This window comes from Homo sapiens, chromosome 21 (assembly GCF_000001405.40).
Source record: "Homo sapiens chromosome 21, GRCh38.p14 Primary Assembly".
NCBI classification, from domain to species: Eukaryota; Metazoa; Chordata; class Mammalia; order Primates; family Hominidae; genus Homo; species Homo sapiens.
Genome location: NC_000021.9, coordinates 14027186 through 14051583, shown reverse-complemented (window position 1 = coordinate 14051583; position 24398 = coordinate 14027186). Strand labels below are relative to the sequence as shown.

Here is a 24398-nt window from a genome sequence, read left to right as displayed (position 1 = left end):
ATTTCTACCAAAGAAAAAGCCTGAATGAATTTTTATTGAAATTGCATTAAATAGGTAGACATATTTTTAAGTTGGGCTTTGTGGTTTTCTCTTGTTGTTTTTTTCTTAGTGTTGAGGTCTAAGAGTTATTTGTATACTTTGGATACAAGTTCTGTATCAGTTATGTGATGTAAAAACATTTTCTGTTAGTCTGTGTCTTGATTCTCTTAACAGTCACTTTTGCAAAACAGAATTTTTTTAACTTTTGATAAAGTATAATTTATCAATTTTTTCCCACGGATCATGCTTTTTGTGCATGGGAAAAAAAAGAGCTTTGCCAAACCCAAGGTCATGTAGACTTTCTCCTATGTTTTCTCCTAAAGGTTTGTTTGGTTGTTGAAGTTTTGAAGCAGGGTCTCACTCTGTCACCCATGCTAGAGTGCAGTGGTGCCATGATAGCTCACTGCAGCCTCAAACTCCTTGGCTCAAGTAATCTTCCCACCTTAGCCTCGCAAGCGATTGGGACTACAGATGTGGGTCACATCTGGCTATTATTTTTTATTTTTTTGTGGAGGCAGAGTCTCCATATGTTGCTTAGGCTGGTCTTAAGTTCCTGGTCTCAAGTGATCCTCTCATCTTGGCTTCTCAAAGCATTGGGATTGCAGGCATGAGCCACTGCACCTACCCTCTAAAAGTTTTACATTACTGCATTTTATATTTAGACTACTGATCATATTTTGAGTTATTTTATGAAACATTTAAGTCTCTGTTGAAATCTTTTCTCTCTCTCTCTCTTTGCATTGCATTTGGACATCCAATTGTTTAGCAGCATTTGTTGAAAAATGAACTGCCTTTGTTCCTTTGTCAAATATCCATTGTCTGTATTTGTATGGGTCTGTTTCTGGGCACTCTATCACATTCCATTGATCTATGAGTCTATTTCTTGAAAACACCACTCTACTTGATAGTCGTACAACTTTATAGTAAAATGTGAAATGTCAGTCCTCCAACTTTGAAACTGACTTTAAACTTCAATTTCACAATATCCATAAAATAGGATTTTGCTAGAATTTTGATTGGTATTATGATCAATTCCTGTTAATGTCAGGGGTTGCCTTAATTGATTTTTAAATACAATACTAGTTTTGCATAACTGGAATAAATACCACTTGGTCCTGGTAAATAATTGTACATTGTTGGATTTGGTTTGCTGAGGATTTTTCCATCTATGATCTTGAGATAAATTGGTCTGTGGTTTTCTTTTCTTGTAATGTCTCTATCTGGTTTTGGTTTTACAGTAATGCTTGTCTCATAGCAATGAGGTAAGAGATGCTCCTTCTGCTTCTATTCTCTTGAGGAGATTGAAGAGAATTCATATTAATTCTTCCTTAAACTTTTGGTAAAATTCGCCAGTGAAACCATCTGGGCCTGGTGTTTTCTTTCTTGAATTACAGTTCAATTTCTCTAATAGACACAGACTTACTCAGATTATATAATTCTCCCTGTGGGATTTTGGGTAGTCGTGTCTTTTAATGAATTTGTATATTCTATTCATCACATTTGTGGGCATGGCGTTTTTCATAATATCCCTTTATCATCCTTTTGATGTCTATGGAATCAACAAGAACGACCCCTCTTTTATTTCTAACATTAGTAATTTGTATGTTCTCTCTTTTTCTGTTTGTGTTTGTTTTGGTTTAGTTAATCTGGCTAGAATTTAACCAAGTTTATTTATCTTTTCAACGAGCCAACATTTGGTTTTGTTGATTTACTCCAATATTTTCTGTTTTTAATTTCACTGATATCTGCTCTAATTACTATAAATTCTTTTCTTCTGCTTCTTTTAGGCCTAAATTTCTTTCCTCTCTCTGGTTTCCTCAAGTAAAAGTTAGACATGATCTGTAAATTATTTAAATAGGGTTGTAAAAGTCTGCAAGTATAATAGTGGATTTGTCTATTTCTCTTTGCATTCCATACACTTTTGCTTCACATATTTTGATTCATTGTTATTTGGCACAAACATATTAAGGATTGTTATGTCTCCTTAGATAATTGACTCCTTTATAATTATATTATCCTTTTTATTCTTAACAAATTTCTTTGTTCTGAAGTCTGCTTTGTCTGAAATTAATACAGCTACTCCAGCCTTCTTCTGATTAGTGCTAGCAGAATATATCTTTCTCCACCCCTTTACTTTTAATGTATCTGTGTATTTATATTTAAAGCATATTTATTATAGGCAACATATAGTTGGATTTAATTTTTAGATCCACTCTGACAATTTCTATTTTGTAATGCATGTGTTTAGACCTCCACATTTACAGTTATTATTTTTATAGAGTTGGTTTATCTACCATGTCTGTAACTGTTTTCTATTTGTTATGCTTTTTCTTTTTTTCTCCTCCTTTTTGTCTGCCTTTTCTGGTTTTAACTGATCACATTATATGAGTCCATTTTTCTCTCCTCTGTTAGCATATCAAATATACACATACACACACCACAATTTGTGATTGCCATGGCGTTTGCTATATACCTATAAAAAGCATTTAAGTTCACTCCCAAATAACATTATAGAGCTTCATACAAAGGATGGAGGGAAGGAATTGGGAATAGGCTATTATAAGGTAATTGCACTTATAATAGTGCATTCCCAATCCTTCCCTCCATCCTTTACTGTTATATAAATAAGTCAAAAATAATGTCTGTGTACTGCTCCCCAGATTGCTTATTTCTTCACTGCATGCTGAGACCCACTAGCTGAAAAGCCCAACAGGGCCAAACTCAAATTTTTACATATCCAGTTATTTTTAAAATAGCTCAAACAAGCAGATTTTTAGTCACTGAGAGGCTGCTTGCTTTACATATCCTCACATTTGCTGGCCATTGACAAAAGCAAGCCTGTGGTTATAAGACCCCAAGCTGCTACGCACTTTGGAGTTTTCTGACCTAGAGAATCCCTTCCTTGTTGCTGAGTGACATCACCTAGGTAGTAAGTTTTCTCTCCATTTCCCTCTCCTCAAAATGTTTCCTTTTTCCTCTTCCCTTCTGAGTAGCCAACCCCATGCTGTAATCTCTGGACAGATTCCTGCTATAAGAGGCTTCCCCAAAAATCAAACCCGTTGAAGTGTTACCCATTAAAGCCTGTGTGTGCTATTGCCCTCATGGTAATATCAGCTTCCTAGATCATCCCCCATATCAGTTGAATCCCTTATATTTTGCATTGCTGTCATTCATTCCACTTACCCATATTCTATAATCACCTAATATATTGTTATTATTATTACTTTGAACAGCTATGTATTAGATCAATTAAGAATTTTAAAAATAAAAGATTTTATTTTACCTTTATTTATTCCTTCTTAGATGCTCTTTTCTTTATGTAAATCCAAGTTTCTAATATATATCATTTTCCTTCTCTCTGAAGAACTTCTTTTCATATTTCTTGCAGAAAAGTTCTGTTGGCAATGAATTTCCTCAGCTTTTTGTTCATCTGATAAAGACTTTATTTCTTCTTCACTTTTGAAGGATAATTTGGTTGAATATGGAATTCTATATTGGTGTGTCTCTCTTTCAGTAATTTAAATATTTTACTCTCTTCTCTTTTTTCTTGCATGATTTCTGAAAAGAAGTCTGATATAATTCTTATCTTTCTTCTTCTATAGTTAAGGTGCACACCTGGCTGCTTTTAAGATTTTCCTTTTTTCTTTAGTTTTCTGCAGTTTAATAGATATACTTAGGTGTAAAATTGGGGGGTTTTATCCTGGTTTGTGCTTTCTAAGCTAAACTGTCTACTGACATATCTTCAAGCTCACTTATTCTTTCTTTGGCCACGTACAGTTTACTGATAATCCCACCAAAAGTATGACTATTACAGTGCCTTTTTTAAAATTTTCTAACATTTTCTTTTGATTTGTTCTTAGTATTTTTAGCTGTCTCTATTTACAGTACTCATGTGTTCTCTATTTTATCCATTATAGTTCTTAACATATTAATGAGAGTTATTTTAAATTCTGTCTGATATCACTTCTTGGCCTTTTGGCTTAGATCAAGTGAAATTCTGTCTGATAATTCCAAAATCCATGCCATATCTGAATCTGGATGTGATGCTTAATTTGTCTTTTCACACTATGTTTTTGCTTGCTTTTTTAGCACACTTCATAATTTTTTGGTTGAAAACCATTTAGTATGTATCATGTAATACGATCCGAGGTAAATATGCCTTTAGTGACAGGTCTTATGCTTATCTGGCTAGGAGATAGGCCTTGTCTAATGTTTGCTATAGCTGCAGATGCCAGAGCCTTCAATTTCTTCTCGTACTCTTGTAAATTGGCTTCTATTTTGTCTTTGGGTTTCCCTAAAAGTGCTCTTAAATAAGAGTCTGTGCCTTGCAGTTCTATTCCACTCCACTCCACTCTGCTCCGCTCCGCTCCACTCCACTCCACTCTCCACTCCACTCCACTCCACTCTATTCTATTCCATTTTATTGAAATGGAGTTTCACTCTTGTTGCCCAGGCTGGAGTGCAATGGCATGATTTCGGCTCACTGCAAACTCTGCCACCTGGGTTCAAGTGATTCTCCTGCCTCAGCCTCCTGAGTGCTGGGATTACAGGCTTGAGCCACCATGCCTGGATCATCCATTGTTATTTTATATGTGAGGCTTGTTGCGATAGTAAGGTATGGAGAAGGGGAAGCAGTCCGTCATCCTATGATTAAGTCTCAGGCTTTAAGTGGGCCTGTGTCACTAGTGTGATCTTCACAAGTGTTTCTCAGCTTCCCCCTTCTCCCTTATAGAGAAACGCTTACAAAAGGCTGCAGTTGTGTAATTTCTATCCCCCCACCTCAGGTAACATCCTGGTAAAGTCTTTTCTCTTGCTGAGCAGACATTTATAACAGAGTATTCTGGCCATATTTCCAAAGTTTTACTTATTTCCTCCCCTGCCAGAAACATCAAGGTTTTTCACAGCTCTTCATTATGAGTAACTCCAAGTAAAATCCACAAAAATGCAGGCTCTCCAGCTGTTTCTCACTCTCAGACTAGGCCATATTCAGCCTCCAGGGATTCATCAAAGTTAGTATTTTTAGTGTCCCTATCAGTTTAGGGCTCCAGTAGCTTCTGTTCCATTTAGGCTGGGACTCCTTGTGTTTACCTGTATTCACCTCCAGATTTCTGGTGGCAGTTTACCCTGAGCCCTCAATTATCTCACAGGTCCAAGAAAATTCATTGATTTTCGGTTTGTTCAGCTTTTTCTTGTTGAAAGGTCAGGAATAAAAGTTTCCAACCTCTTTATGTGTCAAAGGTGAAAATAAAAGTCCCCTCAATTTATTTTTGAATGTTAAAACAATCTTGCATTTCAGGGATAAAGCCCATTTATTTATGATGCATTATCATTTTTATATATTACAGGATTGGATTTGTGAATTTTTTCATTTATGTTCATAGCAGATATTAGTTTGTAGTTTCCTTTTCTTGTAATGTTTCCTCTTCTCTTGATATCATGGTAATATTGGCTTCACAGAATTAGTTGAAAAGTATGATCTCTTCAATTTCTTGAAGAGTTTATATGGAATCAGTACTATTTCCTCCTGAAATGTTTTGTGGAATTCATCAATGAAGCCATCTCAGTCTGAAGTTTTCTTTGTAGGAAGTGCTTAGCTATAAGTTCAATTACTTTCATATATATAAGACTATCCAAGTAATCTATTTCTTCATGAATATGCTTTGATAGCTTATATCTTTCATTAAAGTCCATTTCATTAAAGTTGTTGAACTTATTGGCATGAAGTTGTTCACAATCATTCATTATTATTGTAGAATCTTTACAAATATTAACCTTTCTTTCTTTATACTGGTAAATTTGTTCCCTCTCTCACTCCTTCTCTCTCTCTTTCTCTGTCTCTCTCTCATTTGTTTATTTCCTGATATGTCTGGCTGGAGATTTATCATTATATCAAAATTCACAAGGAACCAGCTTTTGGTTTCATTGATTTTTATCTACTACTCTATTTTTTGCTTACTTTTATTTTCTTTGATTTCTACTCTTTTATTTCCTTCTTTTGCATACATTGAGTTTAATTTTCTCTTTTTTTATCTATTATCATTAGGTGGAAGTGGAAGCCATTGATTTGAGACCTTTCTCCTTTTCTATACAGGTAGTTAGTGCCATAAATTTCTGTTTCGCTTTAGCTGTCTTGTAAACATTTTAATATAATACGTTGTCATTTTCTTTCAGTTCAAAATACTTTGTAAGTCCTCTTTTGATTTCTTATTTGAACTAGGAGATTTAAAAGCATTTAATATCATTTCCAAATAGCTTATATCACACAGACCTCTTTGATACTGATTTCTAATTTAATTCCTTTGTAGTCGGAGAATAGAGTTTGTATGATTTGAATTAAATTTATTGAGACTTGTTTTATGACCCAGAACAAGGTTTACCTAGGTAAATTTTTCGAGTACACTGGAAAAAATGTAAAGAAATAATTATTTGGCTGTCTTTTGTGGAATGTTCTATAATTTGTAATTAGATCTAATTGGTTGATGGTATTGTTTAAGCCTTCTGGCATCCTTAATAATTTTCTACTTGTTCTATCAATCATTGAAAGATGAGTGTTGTAATATTTTACTGTAATTGTGAATTTGCCTGTTTCTCCTTGTCATGCTACCAGATTTTGTTTCATGTGTTTTCAAGTTTTATTATTAGGTGCACATACATTTAGAATTATTATGTCTACTTAATGAATTGAACACATTGTCTATGAAAATTCCCTCTTTATCCTCAGTAATATTGTTTTCTCTGAAATCTACTTTGCCTGGTATTAATGTAGCCACCCAAGATTCTTTTTTATTAAAGTTAGCATGACCTATATCTATCAATCTTTTTTCTTTTAACCCATTTCTGTTTTAATATTTAAAGTTAGCTCCTTTTTTTTGAGATAGAGTTTCACTCCTGTTGCCCAAGCTGGAGTGCAATGGCACTATCTTGGCTCACTGCAACCTTCACTTCCCGGGTTCAAGCGATTCTCCTGCCTCAGCCTGCCGAGTAGCTGGAATTACAGGCATGTGCCACCCAGCTAATTTTTTGTATTTTTTTTTGGTAGAAACAGGGTTTCACCATGTTAAACAGGCTGGTCTCAAACTCCTGACCTCAGGTGATCTGCCCGCCTCGGCCTCCCAAAGTGATGGGATTACAGGCATGAGCCACCACGCCCGGCCTAAAGTTAGCTTCTTACTGGTAACATGTATTTGGGTCTTACTTTTTTGTCCAACCTAAAAATCCTTACCTTTTGCTTGGGTTGTGTTGTTTAGGCAATTTATTTAATGTAATTATTATGATGATGAGGTTTAAATCTACCAACTTGCTATGTTGTTTTTTTTTCCATTTATTTGTTTTCCTTTTTTCTCTTTTTTTTTTTTTTGCCTTTTTTTTCTCTGCCTTTTTGGTTTAAGGGCTATAACTGTTCTTTCGGTTTTTGTTTGAGTCATTGCTTTAAGGTTTATAATACAAAATTTTAATTTATTATAGTCTATTCTCAAGTAATACACCACTTTGCATACAGCAGTGTACTTTAATTTCTCCCTTCCTAGAATTTTGGTTATGGTGATGTCAAAAAACAAAATTTCAAAAATTGATTTTTGAAGATCTAATTGACTTTTATTAGCTATTCATGAACCAGGCAGCATCTAGTATATAAATAGACATAAGCCCCACTGGGAATGGCAGAACAGTAGATTTTTGTGAAATCGCTTGAGCAGGAACAAGGAAACAATATAGTAGAAGCAGCAGATTGGTTAACATCAAGTTACTTCAGATTACTTTCCTAGTGTGGGTTAAGGCAGAGGGGGCTTCCTTATCATGCCGGTTCAGGTTGCCTGGGTCCCTTTTGATTGGTTGCATGAATCTTTTGCTTTTTGGAAAACTGGCCTGTTTTTAAGTTCAATTTGTACGGGTGCCTAGCACCAGTAACTCCATTCTGGTTTGGTCTGGTCTGTTGGAGCTTGGTGCAGGAGCTCAATCCAAAACAATGGCCTCCCACAAATTTTATTTATAGTTGAAATACATTTTATTTTTACATATAAGCACCACAATACAATCTTATTGGTTTGCTTTAAATAGTCAACTACTTAATAAGGATGTTTTAAAATAATTTTTTAAAATTTTATATTTACTCACATATTTAGCATTTCTAGTGCTGTTCATTTCTTACTGTGAATCCAGCTTCCATTTGATATCATTTTCCTTCTGCCTGGAGAACTTCCTTTACTATTTCTTGTAGTGTATATTGACTGGGGATAAATTCTTTTAGTTTTTTTTTTAATGTATGTAAACCTTTTATTTTATCTTCCTATCTCAAATATATTTTTGCTAGTTGTAGAATTCCAAGATAATCATTGCCTCCTCCGAATACTTTAAAAACTTTGATCCTTTGTCTCCTGGTTTGCTTTGTTTCTGACAAGAAGCCTCTTTTCATTCTTACCTGAATTCTTTTATACCCACTGTGCCTTTCTTATCTGGCTGCTTTTAAGATATTATCTTTATCATTTATTTTAAACAATTTGATCATAATGTGTCTTCATGTAATTTTCTTCAAATGTCTTGTGCTTGGAGAGTTTTGAACTTCTTGCATCTGTAGGCTTATAGTTTTCATCAAATTTGGAAAATTGCAGACTATTATTTCTTCTAATGTTTTTTTTTCCTGTCTTTTGGGATTTCAATTATACATAGAGTAAGCCGTCTGAAGTTATCCCACCACTCACCAGCATGTCATTCTCTGGGTCTCTCTTTCATTTTTGATACATTCTATCATTATGTCTTCAAGATTACTAATCTAACCTTCTGCAGTGCATAATCTGATAGTCCCAGATAGTATATTTTTATTTCTAGAAATTGTATTTAGATCTTTTTAAAAACATTTATATCTCTGCTTAACATACTAAACTTTTATCCTCTTGGCCATTTAAATGCCTTTACTACTAATTCTATTATCTGTGTCATTTCTGGGTCTGTTTTATTAATTTTTTTCTTCATTATGAATTGTAATTTCTTATTTGTATTCCTGTTAATTTTTTAATTAAATGACACACATTGTGAATTTTACTTTTTCAGTGCTGTATCTTTTAATTCCTATAAATATTCTTAAACTTTATTACAGGATACAGTTAAATTACTTGGAAGTATTTATTTTCCTTTCCAATCTTGCTTTTTAAGCTTTGTTTTGCTGTAACTAGAACTTAAATACTCTGTTCAATGCCTCGAGAATTATGAGATTTTTCTTTCTGGCCATGAGGCACATGAAATATTCCTGATCTTATGCAAGCTGCCAGGATTTTTTCCCTCTGCTTGCTTGTCTGATACAGCTTTGTTCTTGGCCTCAAGTAGTTTCCTCACATACACGTGTTGATCACTACTCAAATAATGACTGAACAGGTGCCCTCTGCAGATTGATGGGACTCTCTCCATGTATCTATTTTCTCTTCCTTACCCGGTCTTTTTAAAGTATAAGTACTTTGGCCTCCTAGGAATCCCGGCTTCATTTTCTTATTCAGGAATACTGTTGGGTTCTGCCTATATTTTTCTTTCTTAATTTGCAGCCTGGAAACTCTCTCCAAGAAGTAAGTGAAGGATAATTTTAGAACTGACACTATTTGTTTCTGCTCTCAGTAGCCATTATCCTGGATGCTTAATATCCAATGCAGAAATGTGGGCCCTCTTACTCCACTTTTGCCCAACACATTTCTCTTTATCTCTTTATTCATAAAGTAAGGATCAGGCTGTTATAAAATCTATCTCATTTTTTAAATGTTCTACAACCTGGTAATTGATCAGGACTTGGCTTGGAGAGAGATTTTCCCATCTCACCTTCATTAGAATCCTACCATTACTCTTTGATATGGACAATTAATCTATTCCCCATCTCATTTAAATAACCAGCTAAAAGCAGTTCTGAGATAAGAACTACGTCATAGCACTGCCCTACTACTTCTACTCCTCTCCCAACGTCCTAACATTCCAACAAGAGACTGTCCATGAGGTCCTCTCATATAAGAATTCTAGCACTTTCTCCTCCACCTTGTGTAGGAAACCTTCCTTAGTCCTGGGTAAGCCACCTGGATGATGCGTGATTTATATTTAAAGATGTAAAGCAATTAGTTCAACCATTGAGAAAAGCAGTATGATGATTCCTCAGAGAGCTAAAAGCAGAGCTGTCACTCGACCCAGCAATCCCATTACTGAGTATCTACCCAGAAAAATATAAATCATTATACCATAAAGACACATGCACACAGAATGCATTCCAGCACTATTCACAATAGCAAAGACATGGAATCAACATACACGCCCATCAGGGACAGACTGGGTAAAGAAAATGTGGTACATATATACCATAGAATACTATGAAGCTATCAAAGAGAACAAGATTATGTCTTTTGCAGGAACATGGATGGAGCTGGAGGCTATTTTCCTTAACAAACTAACATAGGAACGGAAAACTAAATGCTGCATGTTCTCACTTATAAGTGGGGGCTAAATGATAAGAAGTTATGAACACAAAGAAGGAAACAACAGACACTGGGGTCTACTTGATGGGGGAGGGTGGGAGGAGGGAGAGGAGCAGAAATGGTAACTATTTGGTACTGGGCTTAATACCAGAGTGATGAAATAATCTGTACAACAAACCCCTGTGACACGAGTTTACCTACATAACAAACCTTCACATGTAACCCTGAACCTAAAATAAAAGTTAAAAAATAAATAAGTAAAGTTGTAGAGCCAGTGCTAGTAGATTATCCATTGACCGAGGATGTAGAATGATGCTAAGGGAAATTTAATCTGTTAACATCTCTCTTACATGAGCTGCTGCTTGGAAAACAGTAAATCAAATGTAAAGAGATTCTTTGCAATTGTGTAAATAGCCTTATTTTATTTATGTAGTGATGTGATTAACAAGCGCATGCTTTGCAACTAGGTGGCTACTTTTGTTTTCTTTAGTATTCATTAACATAAAGAGAGGCTGAAACCAAAAGTATAGCAGAATGTTTTTTCACTTCAAGAATGACTTCCAAGCAAAATACATTAATTGATTTTACCATTGAGTCTGACCTCATGTAGTATCATGAAAAAATTAACATCCAGACTTGAAAAAATGTTGAAAACCAAGGAACTACGTTTTAATTTTTCTAATTTAAAAAGAAGATAACTAAGGAAGACATCAGAGAAAAAGATTAAGCAAACTTCACTCTAGAGGAGTCATAAGCCTCATAGGTGGTCATTACGCAGGGTTTCAGAACATTTTGGGGTCCCGGTAATCATGTCATTGCTGGATTTGTATGGTCCACATTTTTCCCAAGAGAATGCTTGCTCCTCATTTGCTTCATCTGTTTTCAAATAGGCACATCCTCGGTGCTAATAAAGATACATTTCTGATTTTAGAAGTTGCTATTTGCATTCAAATCTGGATCCTACTGTCCAAGTTTCACCTACACTTAACACTTTGCTTTCTAGGAGATAAAATGCTATCTGATTTCACTGCTTAACTATACGCTCTTTGGAAACAGCTGCTTTTCCTCACATACATCTCTGCTGCTTGCAGTGCCTACCAAGTGCTTTGCACATAGCTGAATTATTAGTATCCAAATGATTTTATTATGTCAAGTTTGAAATTACTTGGCTTTAGCTTCAATTTTTGCTAATTTTTAAATATATGTGTTTGTGTGTTTTAATAGCAAAGTAGCATGTCTGTGTGTGTGTGTGTGTACTCAATAAATAAGCAGATGAAGAGTGTGTCACATATTTTCAATTTGATCCTATAGATTCACTTTCTACCTATCTCCAAAATGTTCTCCACCTGGGAGGGCTGCCTGTTTGGGTTACATCACCAGGTTTCTCCTATGCCTCTCTGGCTTCTGTGTGGGTTTGGCTAATGGGGCACATCAGCAGGAGATAGGAGAAAGATTCCAGGCACCCACATGTGGAAAACTGAGGTACAAATTTTGTATGTGGGGGAGTAGAGAAGGTCTTATGGGTGCTATGAGGAAGAAGAAAACCCCTTACTGATATTCTTTAGAATGCCCTACTTCATCACTAAATATTACTGCAATATCTTGTGAAAATTTCAAAGCTAGTAACAGAGAGATTTTCTGCCTGAAGCCAGCATCAGGATAGATGTAAGACAGACCAGTCAAGCAATGAAAAAGTGCCAATTTTCCTTCTATTCTGGGTATCCTACCGTGATGAGCTTAAGTTCCAGGAAGGAAACTGAAGGAGACTCTTTCTCTTACCAAGTTTTGTTGGAGTGGTTTAATACACTTGTTAAAGAAGCACTGTCCAACATTAAATATACCAACCAAATACTTTCTCAAAACTAATCTATGTGTCATAATTGCATACTGCAGAGACATTTATTTTCATTGTCAATCAAATAAAAATTTACTTCTTAGGTTACTTTTAGAGATTGCATAATAAAAAGATTCTTGAGAGCCCAACAGAGTACATATAACAACATGGAATAAAAACATTAAGGTCAAGGAAGACCGTACCAACAACTCAGAAAAAAAACTAACCTAAATTAATTCAAGTATTTTCTTCTCTAAGACAAATAAAAATATGGGAGAGGAGCAGGAGCAATCAGAAACAGAAGTTTTGTGATGATGGTAACAAGGAGAATAGGTGAAGGTCTTATGAATTGGTGGAGGACCCTTAATCCCCGAGACCCATGAGTCTGGATTAGGGGCAAAAGACAAGCCTAGAGATGCCCTACATCATTTCTTGCTGTGGAGAAGCAGAGAAAATCTGGATACCAGATACAAGTATCTGGAGAACCACCTCATCAGGACACCCACACACACACACAAACATGGAAGGAAACAGCCAATCATAATTGGGCATTCCCCATGGCTCTCATTTTAGACAGGACCAATTATGACCATCTAGTTTAGTCTCTAATGCCAACTTGGAATAGTTGTTAATGGCTACCTGGAAGGGGGACTTGATACCAGAAAGCCTGTCCAGGTCAGTGGGAAGAGTGTCATTCTGGATTAGGGACACCTGCCAAGAATAAAAAGCAGGTCTTTGGTGGTGTTTTCCTTTGATAAACATGATACAATATTTCAATATATTAACTGCCAGGGAAAGGGGAAGGATTTTATTTAAATGTGTGGATATGTCATCACTTTGCTGTTGAAATTCATTTACATAAGGCAGAGTTTTTGAGAAATCTCTCCAAGCAGTGGCTCTTCTCTTGCAGTCCCTGTCCCACCAGGAGCTCTCTATGTGCCCACCTAGTAGGCATCTTTGCTCTTACATATTATTCCTTTCCCAGACTTGTGGTTTTGACACCTAAATGGAATGAAAGACGTAAAAGGAAGAGAATGCGACTGCAAGGATGAGAAAGGAAGAAAGAACGTGTGCATTACACATGAATATAAGATAAATGCTTTCACCTAATATCTCATTTGATTATTTCCATTATATTTATGCAATATTATAGTGTTTTTCACTTCAAAAATCACAAAATTAAAGATCAGATAACTTATCTATGTTTCCCAAAATCAACAGGGTTGACAAATGAGAGCTCACGGACTAGAACTCATTTGTTGTGTTATTTTTCCCCTAATATTCCACAGCAAACATTTTTTCTCCTGTATTATATTGCCACATTTTTTACACTCAATATGACCTCCTTCTCTTTCTCTCTTACTTTCATTCCTCATTTCACCCAAGCTCCACTTTTGCAAATTAAGGTGACGTGAGAAAATGCTGGGCAAGCTTCAGATTCAAATTAAGACTGATATGATTTGGCTCTGTGTCCCCACCCAAATCTCATCTTGAATTGTACTTCCATAGTTCCCACGTGTTGTGGGAGATAACTGAATCACCGGGGCGACTTCCCGCATACTGTTCTCGTGGTAGTGAATCAGTCTCACAAAATCTGATGGTTTTATAAGGGGTTTCCACTTTTGCTTCTCTCTCATTCTCTCTTGCCTCTGCCATGTGAGAAGTGCCTTTTGCCTTCTGCCGTGATTGTGAGGCCTCCCCAGCATGTGAAACTGTGAATCCATTCAACCTATTTTTCTTCCCAGTCTCGGGTATGTCTTTATTAGCAGCATGAAAAAAGACTAATACAAAGACTTAGCTTGTAATTCAAGAGTGTACTATCTTAGTCCCTTTATTCTTTCATCCTGATGGGAAACATTAATGTTCAGATTCCATACAAGTATGTCTGAAGTATTGCAAAGCAGTATGAAAAGACATTATGTGGCAATCCAACCAGATTCAATAATTAATAAAAATGGGGGCTCTATTTATAAAAGCAGAATATTTAAAGTGGGATAAAGAGTAAGTTCTACCTTCTTCCCTACAGGTCTGGCCATGCCTGAGAATGATGCTGTGTTAAGAATCTCTCTTTAAGATGAAAAGAGACAACTTAGCATCTAGTGAAAAATGACCAGGTAAGTTAAGACTTGGAAGCCATGTTATATATGAGAAAAATAATATAATAATAATAAATAGCCTGGGATTTTTAAGCTATAAGAGAAATGTCATGAAAATTAAAAATAAGTATCTTAAAGTATGTAAAAGGACCTAATGTGGGAGAGGGAATCGACTTGTTATGTTAAACCAAAGGATATACCATGAAATAAGGGGGTGAGAACACAAACATACTAAGGTGTCTCAGAGGTCTAAAGATCTTTCATCAAGTGGAGAGCTCCCTGTCCCCACAGACAGTCAAGCAGAGACTAAACTAGCATTCAACCCTTCTATTGCAGAAGCGAATTTAAGCATCAGAAGGTAGCTGCACTAGATAACCGGTAGATGTTTCTTTCAACACTGAGCTTCTAGGGCTCTTTACTGCCCTTACTACCTTTATGATATGTTGTGGCAGGAATTCTTCCCAGCATAGGGTTGGAAAAATTGCTTAAAGTATTTATAGCCACTGCCAATTACTTAGGAGCATCCTGCACACAGTACTTGCCCAATAATTTTTAAGTCAAAATGCTAAATTTAATTTATGCCACAATAACAGTTCCCTGCATGAGGCGCAAATGTTCTATATAGTGTTCTATATAGAATATAGTACATAAACTTTCAGGGAAAAAAATCACTTAGTTACATGACAGCAGAATGAGCTGTCTAATGGGACTCTCTTTAGCTGAGCTGTGACCACCTGCCAGTCCTAGGTGAAAATGTGCTCTTATTCACAAAAAGACCACAAACCTAGTGAGTTTCTCAGCATGCCAAGAACCTGGTAAATTAGTTCTGAATATTGAGGACTTGCATTTCCTTCATTTGCCTATCACTTAAACTTTCTTCTGTCACACTGTAAAACTAGGGAAAAAATAGACTTTCTCCAGTATCTCAGTTCCCACTGGGCTGAGATCAGGAGAAAAGTAAATAGCAAGGTGAGGGGGAATGATACTTAAGACAGAACTCTGAATGTAGCAGGAGGAGGAAAAACCAGTTCTTCCCAATTTAAAAATTTTTTAACGTGTAATTTCCTTCTTTTTACTTGCAGGCAGTTTTCGGAAGGTGCACATTTACCTTCCAGGGTAAATGTAAAGCTTGAAGCTGCAGCTCTGCACTGAAGCTACTGTTATTGTGGCATAAATTAAATAAGAGGAAAATGCAGATTCATTTGCTTTTCTCCTGGAATAAGACCCCAGTGCTCCTCCAAGTTTATATAAAAGGCTGAGGAATCTGTGGTACAAATACTTTAATTAGCTGACAGCATGTGCGATGAATTACATTTGATTTCTGTCTAAGATGCTTGTATAATAAAGGATTTAATTCATTTTTTACAGTGTAATGAATGGATAGACGAGGATATCTTAGAAATTTGTTCATTTAAAGCAATAATTGCAATATTGTACGCAAAGTGGAATGACATGAAGAACATTGTAGATAAAGTATGTAGGAGCCTTCAGATTCTGTGGATTCTCTGTACCCTTGCCCTCCTGCCTGGGTATGAAGCTGACTCCATCTAAAAGCTCGAGAACTTCTGGCCCCACCTTTGGCCCTTGCCATCTTTTGCCAGCAAGAATGTAACAGACTCTTAATTGACCTTTCTGCTCATTAAATGCTTATTCAATGAGTGAGTACATGAAAATAGATTTCCTTCTATTACTTCAACAGGATTAGAGTAAAAGTAATGTTTTACCAAATATTCAAGTGAGACAGGTGTAAACAAATCACATACTAACGTGTGGCAAATGTTTGCAAGATAAAATGCCACTAAGAATTAAATTGCTGAGTAAGAGACTTGGATATAATTATTTAATATAATCACATGTGTTTAACATTTCACTCAATTGTAGCTATCATCCAAAATGCTTCTTTGCCCTACCTATATGCTGGTTTAGAGAAACTGACCATTTAGCTATAAATATTCAAGGAGGAGGAAGGTGCCTTGCACTACCAGATCTGACACCAGCTCCTAGCCTCACAAACACCATTATGCATAGACACAGCCTGGGGATCCTGTCAAAATGGAGATTCTGAGTCCATAATTCTGGTGCAGTATTTGGGACTGTGCGAATCTATCAAACTCCCTGGTAATGTTGATGCTGCTGGTCCTTGGATCTTTCAGTGGCAAGGATTGCAAGCACTAAATTTAACTCCGTGCAGTGTAAGGTGGCTTTCAGGAAGCTGAACACCAAAGTATTTATTGTCATGAATATAACTATACTGAAAGTTTCTTTCATCCTATGTGAGCATCTAAGTGGATTTAAGTTAATTTGTATACTCATTATTTGATGAACAAGTATTTTTTAATGATTAAACTAAATTATAAATATTGCAGGCACGGATTTTTTCCTCATAAAAGCTTCAGAAATTTTCACAGAATCCCTTATCCCAACACCCTTATCACAACACACATATCCTTCATCCAAAGAAAAGACCACCAATCATCAGCCTGAAACTTGGCATTCTCTGCAGGCCCTTTTACATAGTTTACACAGGCTGGAGATAATGGCAATGTCTGAATAAGTCTGCAGTTGAAAAACATGTGCACAAGCATTAATGCAATGTTTATGGAGCATGTACTATGTGCTCAGGAGTATGTCACAGAGCACTGTGCTGGGAAGCTCACATTATGTGTTAATTCTCATAACAGGTTTCTGCAGAGGTGGGTACTAATTGTCCCACACTTCCCAGGATTTAAATGCAGGGCCTGCCATTTCTATTTCTTCTGTTTTCCTATCATTGATTTTAAAATAAAATGTATAGAATAATAGCTCATTTTAGACAGATGGAGAGATATAGAAAGGAACTGTTAACTGCAATTCAGTGTTTGTATTTACTTTGAGACTTGTGAAGAAATCATTGAAACTGCAGGAATGGAGAACAGGTTGCTGGATGGGATGTCTCTAGAAACACTGGTTTTAATTTTTTTTTTTTTTTAAGACTGAGTTTCGCTCTTATTGCCCAGGCTGGAGTGCAATGGTGCAATCTCGGCTCACTGCAACCTCCACCTCCCAGGTCCAAGCAATTCTCCTGCCTCAACCTCCCAAATAGCTGGGATTATGGGTGCCCACCACTGCGCCCAGCTAATTTTTAGTATTTTTAGTACAGCCGCGGTTTCATCATGTTGGCCAGGCTGGTCTTGCACTCCTGACCTCAAGTGATCTGCCCGCCTTGGCCTCCCAAAGTGCTGGGATTACAGGCATGAGCCACCGCACCCAGCCTAATTTTTTAAAAAAGAATTTAAGGCCCCAAAGTATATAGTTTTTCCCCTTTTATCTCCTTTTGGGTTTCAGGAAATTGTGAGCACCAGCTGTGGAGAGGCAGTAGGGGTAGTCACTCCAAACTCTGATCTCCTCTAGGCAGTTCTGTGAGAGATTTCAGTGTGGGATCAGACCTGGAGAAAGTTTAGCAGTAGAGGGTGGATCTGCGCAGGGTTGGGACAGATCTCCATGCTGCTAAGAATTTTCAGTTTTATCTTTTCTAAGCCTGACCAAGAGAAATCTGATTTTCAGAGTTTGTGCAATTTTAATCTATTTTAGCCACTTCCCTATTTTGTAACATACGATAAGAAGGAATTTAACCAAAACCCTTACGTTTTCCTAGAGCAATTATATTAGAAGGTAAATATTTATTCTTAGCAAGGTAAAAACAATACAAATAATAACTTCTCTTCTGTCCTTGAATAGACCTTCAGTTGGTGGCATCAAAACTCAAAACAAGGGATGTGACCCAAATGAAGCTTAAGTCTCCTCTACACCTTCCGTCTTTGTGCTTAACACATGATGCTGAATTCAACTACTTATTCATGTGCTCTAGATTGCAAGTTCCTTCATGGTAGGGACCATGACTGCTTCATCTCTTTTTCTAATGACATATGAAATAGAAGCAATTAGCTTATTGACCAGTTTGAGTCTCCAGATCTCCTCATTTTTCACCAAAGAACCAGAAAACTGAAGCAACTCCCATCTGGGTACAAATCAAGGAAATTATTTCTGTGAGGGGAGGAACAAACCCTGGCTGAACCATTTCTCTTCCTCTAAAATGGGGGCAGAATTAAACCTTGTAGTCAGACAGACCCCAATTTGCACAGGACATCCTCAAATGTCTCCAAAATTCACAGGTGCTGGTGAGAGCGTCCCCAGTGACTATGGGCTGATGCCTCCATAATGATCCTGAGACAGGAGACACTCAGGCTTTGTGGGGTGCAAATATTATAGAAAATGGTTCTGCTCTGGTGGAGCGACAGATCCCGAATCTAGCTGTAATATCCCGTCCCTGTCCAGCTAAGTCTGAGGTAAGGGGAAGAACAAAAATACTCTACTCCACTAACAGTTTACAAGGAGGCACAGTTGTGATTATGGCTCTGGTTATTTTGTAGCTCTGACCTCCCACTGCTAAGGTGCTTGTTTAACTTACAGGATTCTGTTGACACCAGAAGCCTCTCACAGAGCTGCAGCAGGTCACTGGACAAGATCTGGAAAACTCAAAGGGCTCCACTCTGAAACTGATGCTTAAGATGTCTATGTTGACCTCTTATGATGCAGAAAATGTCTTCTGTGAGTTTTCTGTATGTCTTCAACCCAAAGTCTGGCCCTGTCTTGTGAATCCTAGGCAGAGGCCAGCTTTTATGTGCAGATTCTAGGTGGGATCAATGTGCCTCTGCATTCTTGGGGGTTACAGCAAGCAGAGTAAAACCAGAGGAAAGATCTTCTCATGGAGGCTCCTTCAACACCTTTTCTTCTCTCAAATCCCAGGACATAAATTCAAAATCTGGAGCTGCACATTTAGGTCTTGAAGGGCTGATGAGCGGTGGCACATGTGTGGGCATTTGGGCAAGGGGAGGTGGGAGGGAGTTGAACTTTTCAGGTTTAATTAATGCACATGTGTGATCCTAATTGGGTTTATGTGCCCCATGATCTCTGAATCAGTGTCAGATGTGAAGATGCCAGGAGCACTAACGGAGGTGGAATACTTGACTGCTATCCTGAAAAGTTATTTTTGTAAAAATCTACTCTCCCTGCTCTAGAAGGGACTGTAGATTCCAAAGAGAGACCATTCTGTTTGAAGATTTGGGGGGCACTTTGCTGCACAATTGTGGGTTGGGACTGGAATCCTGAGAAAGAAAGTTCTCTCTAAAGTGAAGCCTGTTGGGCACCTTGTGTATAACATGTAGTAATGCTGGACAGTGTGGAAAACATAACTGAAAGCAAACTCATTTCTGACCCTAAAAAACTCTCCACCAGCCAGGCGCGGTGGCTCACGCCTGTAATCCCAGCACTTTGGGAGGCCGAGACGGGCGGATCACGAGGTCAGGAGATCGAGACCATCCTGGAGAACACGGTGAAACCCCGTCTCTACTAAAAATACAAAAAAACAATTAGCCGGGCGTGGTGGTGGGCGCCTGTAGTCCCAGCTACTCGGGAGGCTGAGCCAGGAGAATGGCATGAACGTGGGAGGCAGAGCTTGCAGTGAGCCGAGATCACACCACTGCACTCCAGCCTGGGCGACAGAGCGAGAGTCTCTCTCTCAAAAAAAAAAAAAACAAAAAAACAAACAACAACTCTCCACCATAACAGAACAGCAAGAAAACTGTTTTGTTATATAATTAAACTAAAATGTGATGTGCATCACAGGCAATATACTAAGAGATTGCAAACAGAGAAAGGTCAACATAATTAGTACTCAACTGTACCATTTGTCATACACAGCTTATTATAATTTGGGCTGTCATCTGGGTTTTCTAATTGGTAATGTTTAAAGGAAAAATAAACTTCCCTCATCTTCATGACAGGAGGTAGTGTTGCAATGTGGAGTTAGACACCTGCTGAAGGCAGCCTTCTACTCTCCTACAGAAACTGTGGGATAGGGTGTATAAACTTGCTAATTACATTTCAAAGCAATAGTTCCCAGGTCCTAGATTAAGACAATTCTGAGTCAAACACATACACACACACACACACACACACACACACACACACACACACAACCAAATGACCTATTTAACTGATAAAAATGATTTACATATATTTCAAAGAAGTAGAGAAAGGTTTTCAAACTAAATGCTTTAAGAAAAGAAAGAAGAGCAAAAATTCTTCCCTCATTTTAAAGAGAAAGCATTAAACCTTTTCTTTCTAATTTGTATTTGCTCCTACAATAGCCGGGTCTAAAGGCATGGTCTTGAACTCATTAACATCTGACTTCTAGTAGGCACTGGATTCAGGCACTGGAGGGATGGCCTTGGGCACACTGTGTACACGTGAAAGAGGATTTGTGGGGAAGAAAAAAGCAGAAAAGAGAAAGATGCTATCAAGAACTATGGGTGGGGATGCAGGGCAGAATTGGTTAAGGAACTGGTTTGTGCTACAGATACAGGCTCAGGCAGCGCTATGTTCTGACTTATTCCTGTGTTCACACAATCAGAAGAGATTATGATCAGGTAGTCCAAGAAACCTGGGTTGGTGAAAAAAACAGGTTCCCGATAGAGATTCATTGTCTACAGTTTAGATAAGCCAGGAGTCTTCTAGGCACCTGTGTATGTTCTCGGCAGAAATCTCTAGGAGGAAAGCTGTTGTGAGCACAATTCCTGAGGGTAAAACTTTGTCGTGGGAGGAATGTAGCCAGATCAATTTTTAGTGGTTATGTTCAGGAGTGGGTTAGAAGCATGTAGGGGCTGGCAGCAGGGTCAGGGGAGGGAATAGGTTCTCAGAGCTCCTTCACTCTAAGCTCTCGTTCCATCTCACAGTAGGAGGAGACCTGGAATTACAGGACAACGCACAGGGTGACGACAAGCCTGTGTGCAGAACAAAGCCTCACTTCCCTCAGACACCTGGAGTCTCCTTGTAGACCAGGCCCCAGTGATGTCTTTCTTCTGACACAAAACGTAAGGAGTTTGCTGAACACCAACCAATTATCCAACACCAACTAGCTGTCCAACACCTCAATTCCAACACCGCCCGGAGTCAGCATAGATCCCACAAGTTCAGGCTAAGTCCCATAACACTGTCCCCACTGCCGATGCCAGTCACATGCCTCTGGATACCTATCTTTATTTCTCAACTACTTCCTACAAATCAAGGGCTTCCACATTCCCCTCCTCAAGCTCAATAATTTGATAGAACTATTCACAGAACTCAGCAAAGCACTGTACTTACATATACCAGTTTATTATTGAAGATACAGCTCAGGAACAGCCACATGGCAGAGATGCATAGGGCAAGAAAAAGTGGTGGTGAAAGCTGGGGCAGGTAGGTAATTCTGCTAAATAGCTGTGACAAAAAATTCCTCATGCTTTTTGTTCTCCGAAATCAGCTTAACGAAAAGAGACACCCTTCCCATTGTGACTTCAATAATACTCTCTCTTCTTTTTTTCTAAACCTACCACAGAGTCAGACACGGACCACACATTTCCATCTTTTTCTCATATACAATTGGCTGAACAATTTCATCTTCGATGGTAAAAAAAAAAAAAAAAAAAAAGCCTATTTGTTCAGATCCCTGAACTTTGACCTATTCTCAGCCTGATTCAACATTCAATCTCTCTTTATTAACCTCCTAAGAAAAAGCTGACTTCAGGGTTGAACGCTCTCTGATTTAGAATCTGATTTTGCCACCCTTCATTCTGCCCACCCTCTCTCACCTTCCTTCTAATCTGATTTGCTCTTTCCAACTTTTTTTAAAAGCCCTTTTCTGCCTATCCTTTGAGATCCAATTTACAGTTAATTAAAAAAACCGAAGTTGAAATAAGTGAGCAAATCTATACAGGGGGACAAACTCAGGGAGTGGCAGTGCTTTCTGGAACAGGGACATCTGACTCAAGTGTCAAATCAGGCCACCTTATCCCTTGGGACTTTCTCTCACCCCCATACTCCTCACTGAAGTGCTCAATGCCCACCCTCCCAGGAGACACTGCACTGTGCCCCACTCCGCTTTTTGCTTTGCAGGTTCTTGCACTGCCTCCCTGGGGTGGGTTTTTCTTGTCCTTCAGGTTAGTTTCTCTCCCTTCGCAAATATAAGACAATTCAGAAGACAGGAATAGTCTATCTTTTTCTCTGAATACCAGCATCTGATTGGCTGACAAGCAATGTGTTTCCATGGAATGCAAACTGGGGTTGGGGGAAAAAAAAAAAAAAAAATCTTAAAAATCCCAAGGGATTCTTTTTTTACAGGAAGGGTAAGCCTGGATATTTCTCTCACCCCCAGGGCATTCAGCTGCTCCTTTGAGAAGCTGTACTCCCATCCCTCATTGTGTCCTCTGGAAGATTACCAAAGGGCTGATATTCACCAGAACTCCCAAAAGACATGGCTCTGGTTTGTATCTTGGGCCATCTCAAGACAGTTCTAAAACTCAGGACTAGAAAAAGGCCCGAATGTGGCTAAGGAAACATTGCCCCATAAAGTTTCCCAAGGAAAACCTCAATCCCAAGATGTCCTAATAAGGGCGTTTGTGCTAAGGGAGGATACAAGGAGAAACAGCAGAAAGATTTTTTACAGCTGAGTGCCAGGGGATTATTTTCTGCTTTTTTCTCATGTGAAATATTTGTAAGTAGAAAACAAGTATTTTACAAATTGCCATCCACTGCTCTGTGAAAAAGTGATTAATTAAAATACTGTTTCTGAAATGTGCAATAAAGGACAAAAATAGTTGATAATGTATGGGAGGGGAGAAGTTGCCTTTGGGGAATGTCAGCAAGAAACCGGAAATTTAAGATTTTACTTCAAGCCAGGTTAGGCTGGCAGAACAGAGTAGTGGATGTGAGACCCTGCTTGCCACACATTTGGAAAATGCAGGCGAAAACCAGTGTCTTTGATTAAAGTTAAAATAATTACATAGCAGTCAATTAGATTGAAGTGGCTCTAGTGGTCTAGGCCTCTATGTAAAAAAAGAAACCTAACTCAAATGCATTTTTTCTAAGTTACTACCTTAGGAGGAAACGAAATTCAAGCTTAAACAACTACAAACCTCCAATTAATCCCTGATTACATAACCAGGAAATTTCCACCCAGACACTCCAAATAAAGCGACTACATAACTGTACCCAATTATTTAATTGTCTTTGCTTCCTCACACACCTTATACAAGCCTTTCTTTCAAGACCTTCTAGTAGCCCCCAAACCACAAACCATTGCTGAGCGCTGTCCCATTAATTAATCACTGTTTACTCATATAAGCTGTCTATGTTTTAATGGTGCCTCAGTCTAATTCTGAACAGGGTAAGGTAGGGACGGGGGACCCCACGGACCACAGCTCCTTCCACGCAGGAACCCTGCACACCGAGTCGGCGTCTTTCCGATGACTTTCGCCTCATCACCTCACAACCTGGGGAAGATGCAGGGCTGCGGGCGCAGAGCTGCGCAAAGAGGGCTACAGGCTGGGGCCAAAGCCGCCGTGCAGGGACAGGACAGGACGCCCGGAGTCCCTGCACCGGAGGGGACTGAGGGCTGAGCTGCAGAGGACTCGACTCGCAGACTAGGTCCCGTCACCGCCATGTCCAGCCGGTTCCAAGGAGTCCCCTCCCCAGTCTCGGGACGCCCTGCCCCCCACACTCACCATTTCTCGGCTTCAGGGGTGTCCTGGAGTCTTAGCTATAAATCATTCAATGCCAGCAGGTCACAGAGCGACGGAGGGAGTGGCAGAATCACCGAAGTCTCCCGGAGCAGAGGACACAAGGCAATGAAGCCCTAACCCCGCTCTCTGGCTGAAGTGAGACAAAGGCCGCGCCAGATTCCGGAAGCCGCCCCTTCCTCCCTGGCTGCGCGCCTGATTGGACAGTTCCCACCCCAGCGCCCTGATTGGATAGTAGTGCAGGCACCGCGCCCTCAGGCCTTGCGTGTCAGAAGATGCTACCATACACTGTACGGAATGAGCCGAGAGTGTCAGGCTCTTGGCTCCAGTCACTTTCAGGCAGGGCTTTCTGTCTGTGCTGCGCCTGGCTCTAACCAGGGGTCATTTTTTAGCATTG

At 38.5% G+C, this 24398-nt stretch overlaps 1 long non-coding RNA gene across 2 annotated transcripts in view, besides 1 other annotated feature; it reads right to left on the bottom strand.

The window, feature by feature from the left end:
- The window catches only part of LOC105377134 (uncharacterized), a 62187-nt gene extending 38035 nt beyond the window's left edge, over positions 1–24152 (bottom strand). For both annotated transcript variants that reach the window (NR_188592.1, NR_188593.1), the window contains exon 1: positions 23987–24152. This is a non-coding gene — a long non-coding RNA (uncharacterized LOC105377134). The remainder of the gene's footprint in view (positions 1–23986) is intronic.
- Positions 23691–23760: an enhancer, noted in NCBI's record as "active region_18266". NCBI's record gives its function as "activates an Ori minimal core promoter by ATAC-STARR-seq in GM12878 lymphoblastoid cells {active_cell/tissue: GM12878}" and the evidence as "EXISTENCE:reporter gene assay evidence [ECO:0000049][PMID:35858748]".
- Positions 24153–24398: the final 246 nt, after the last annotated feature.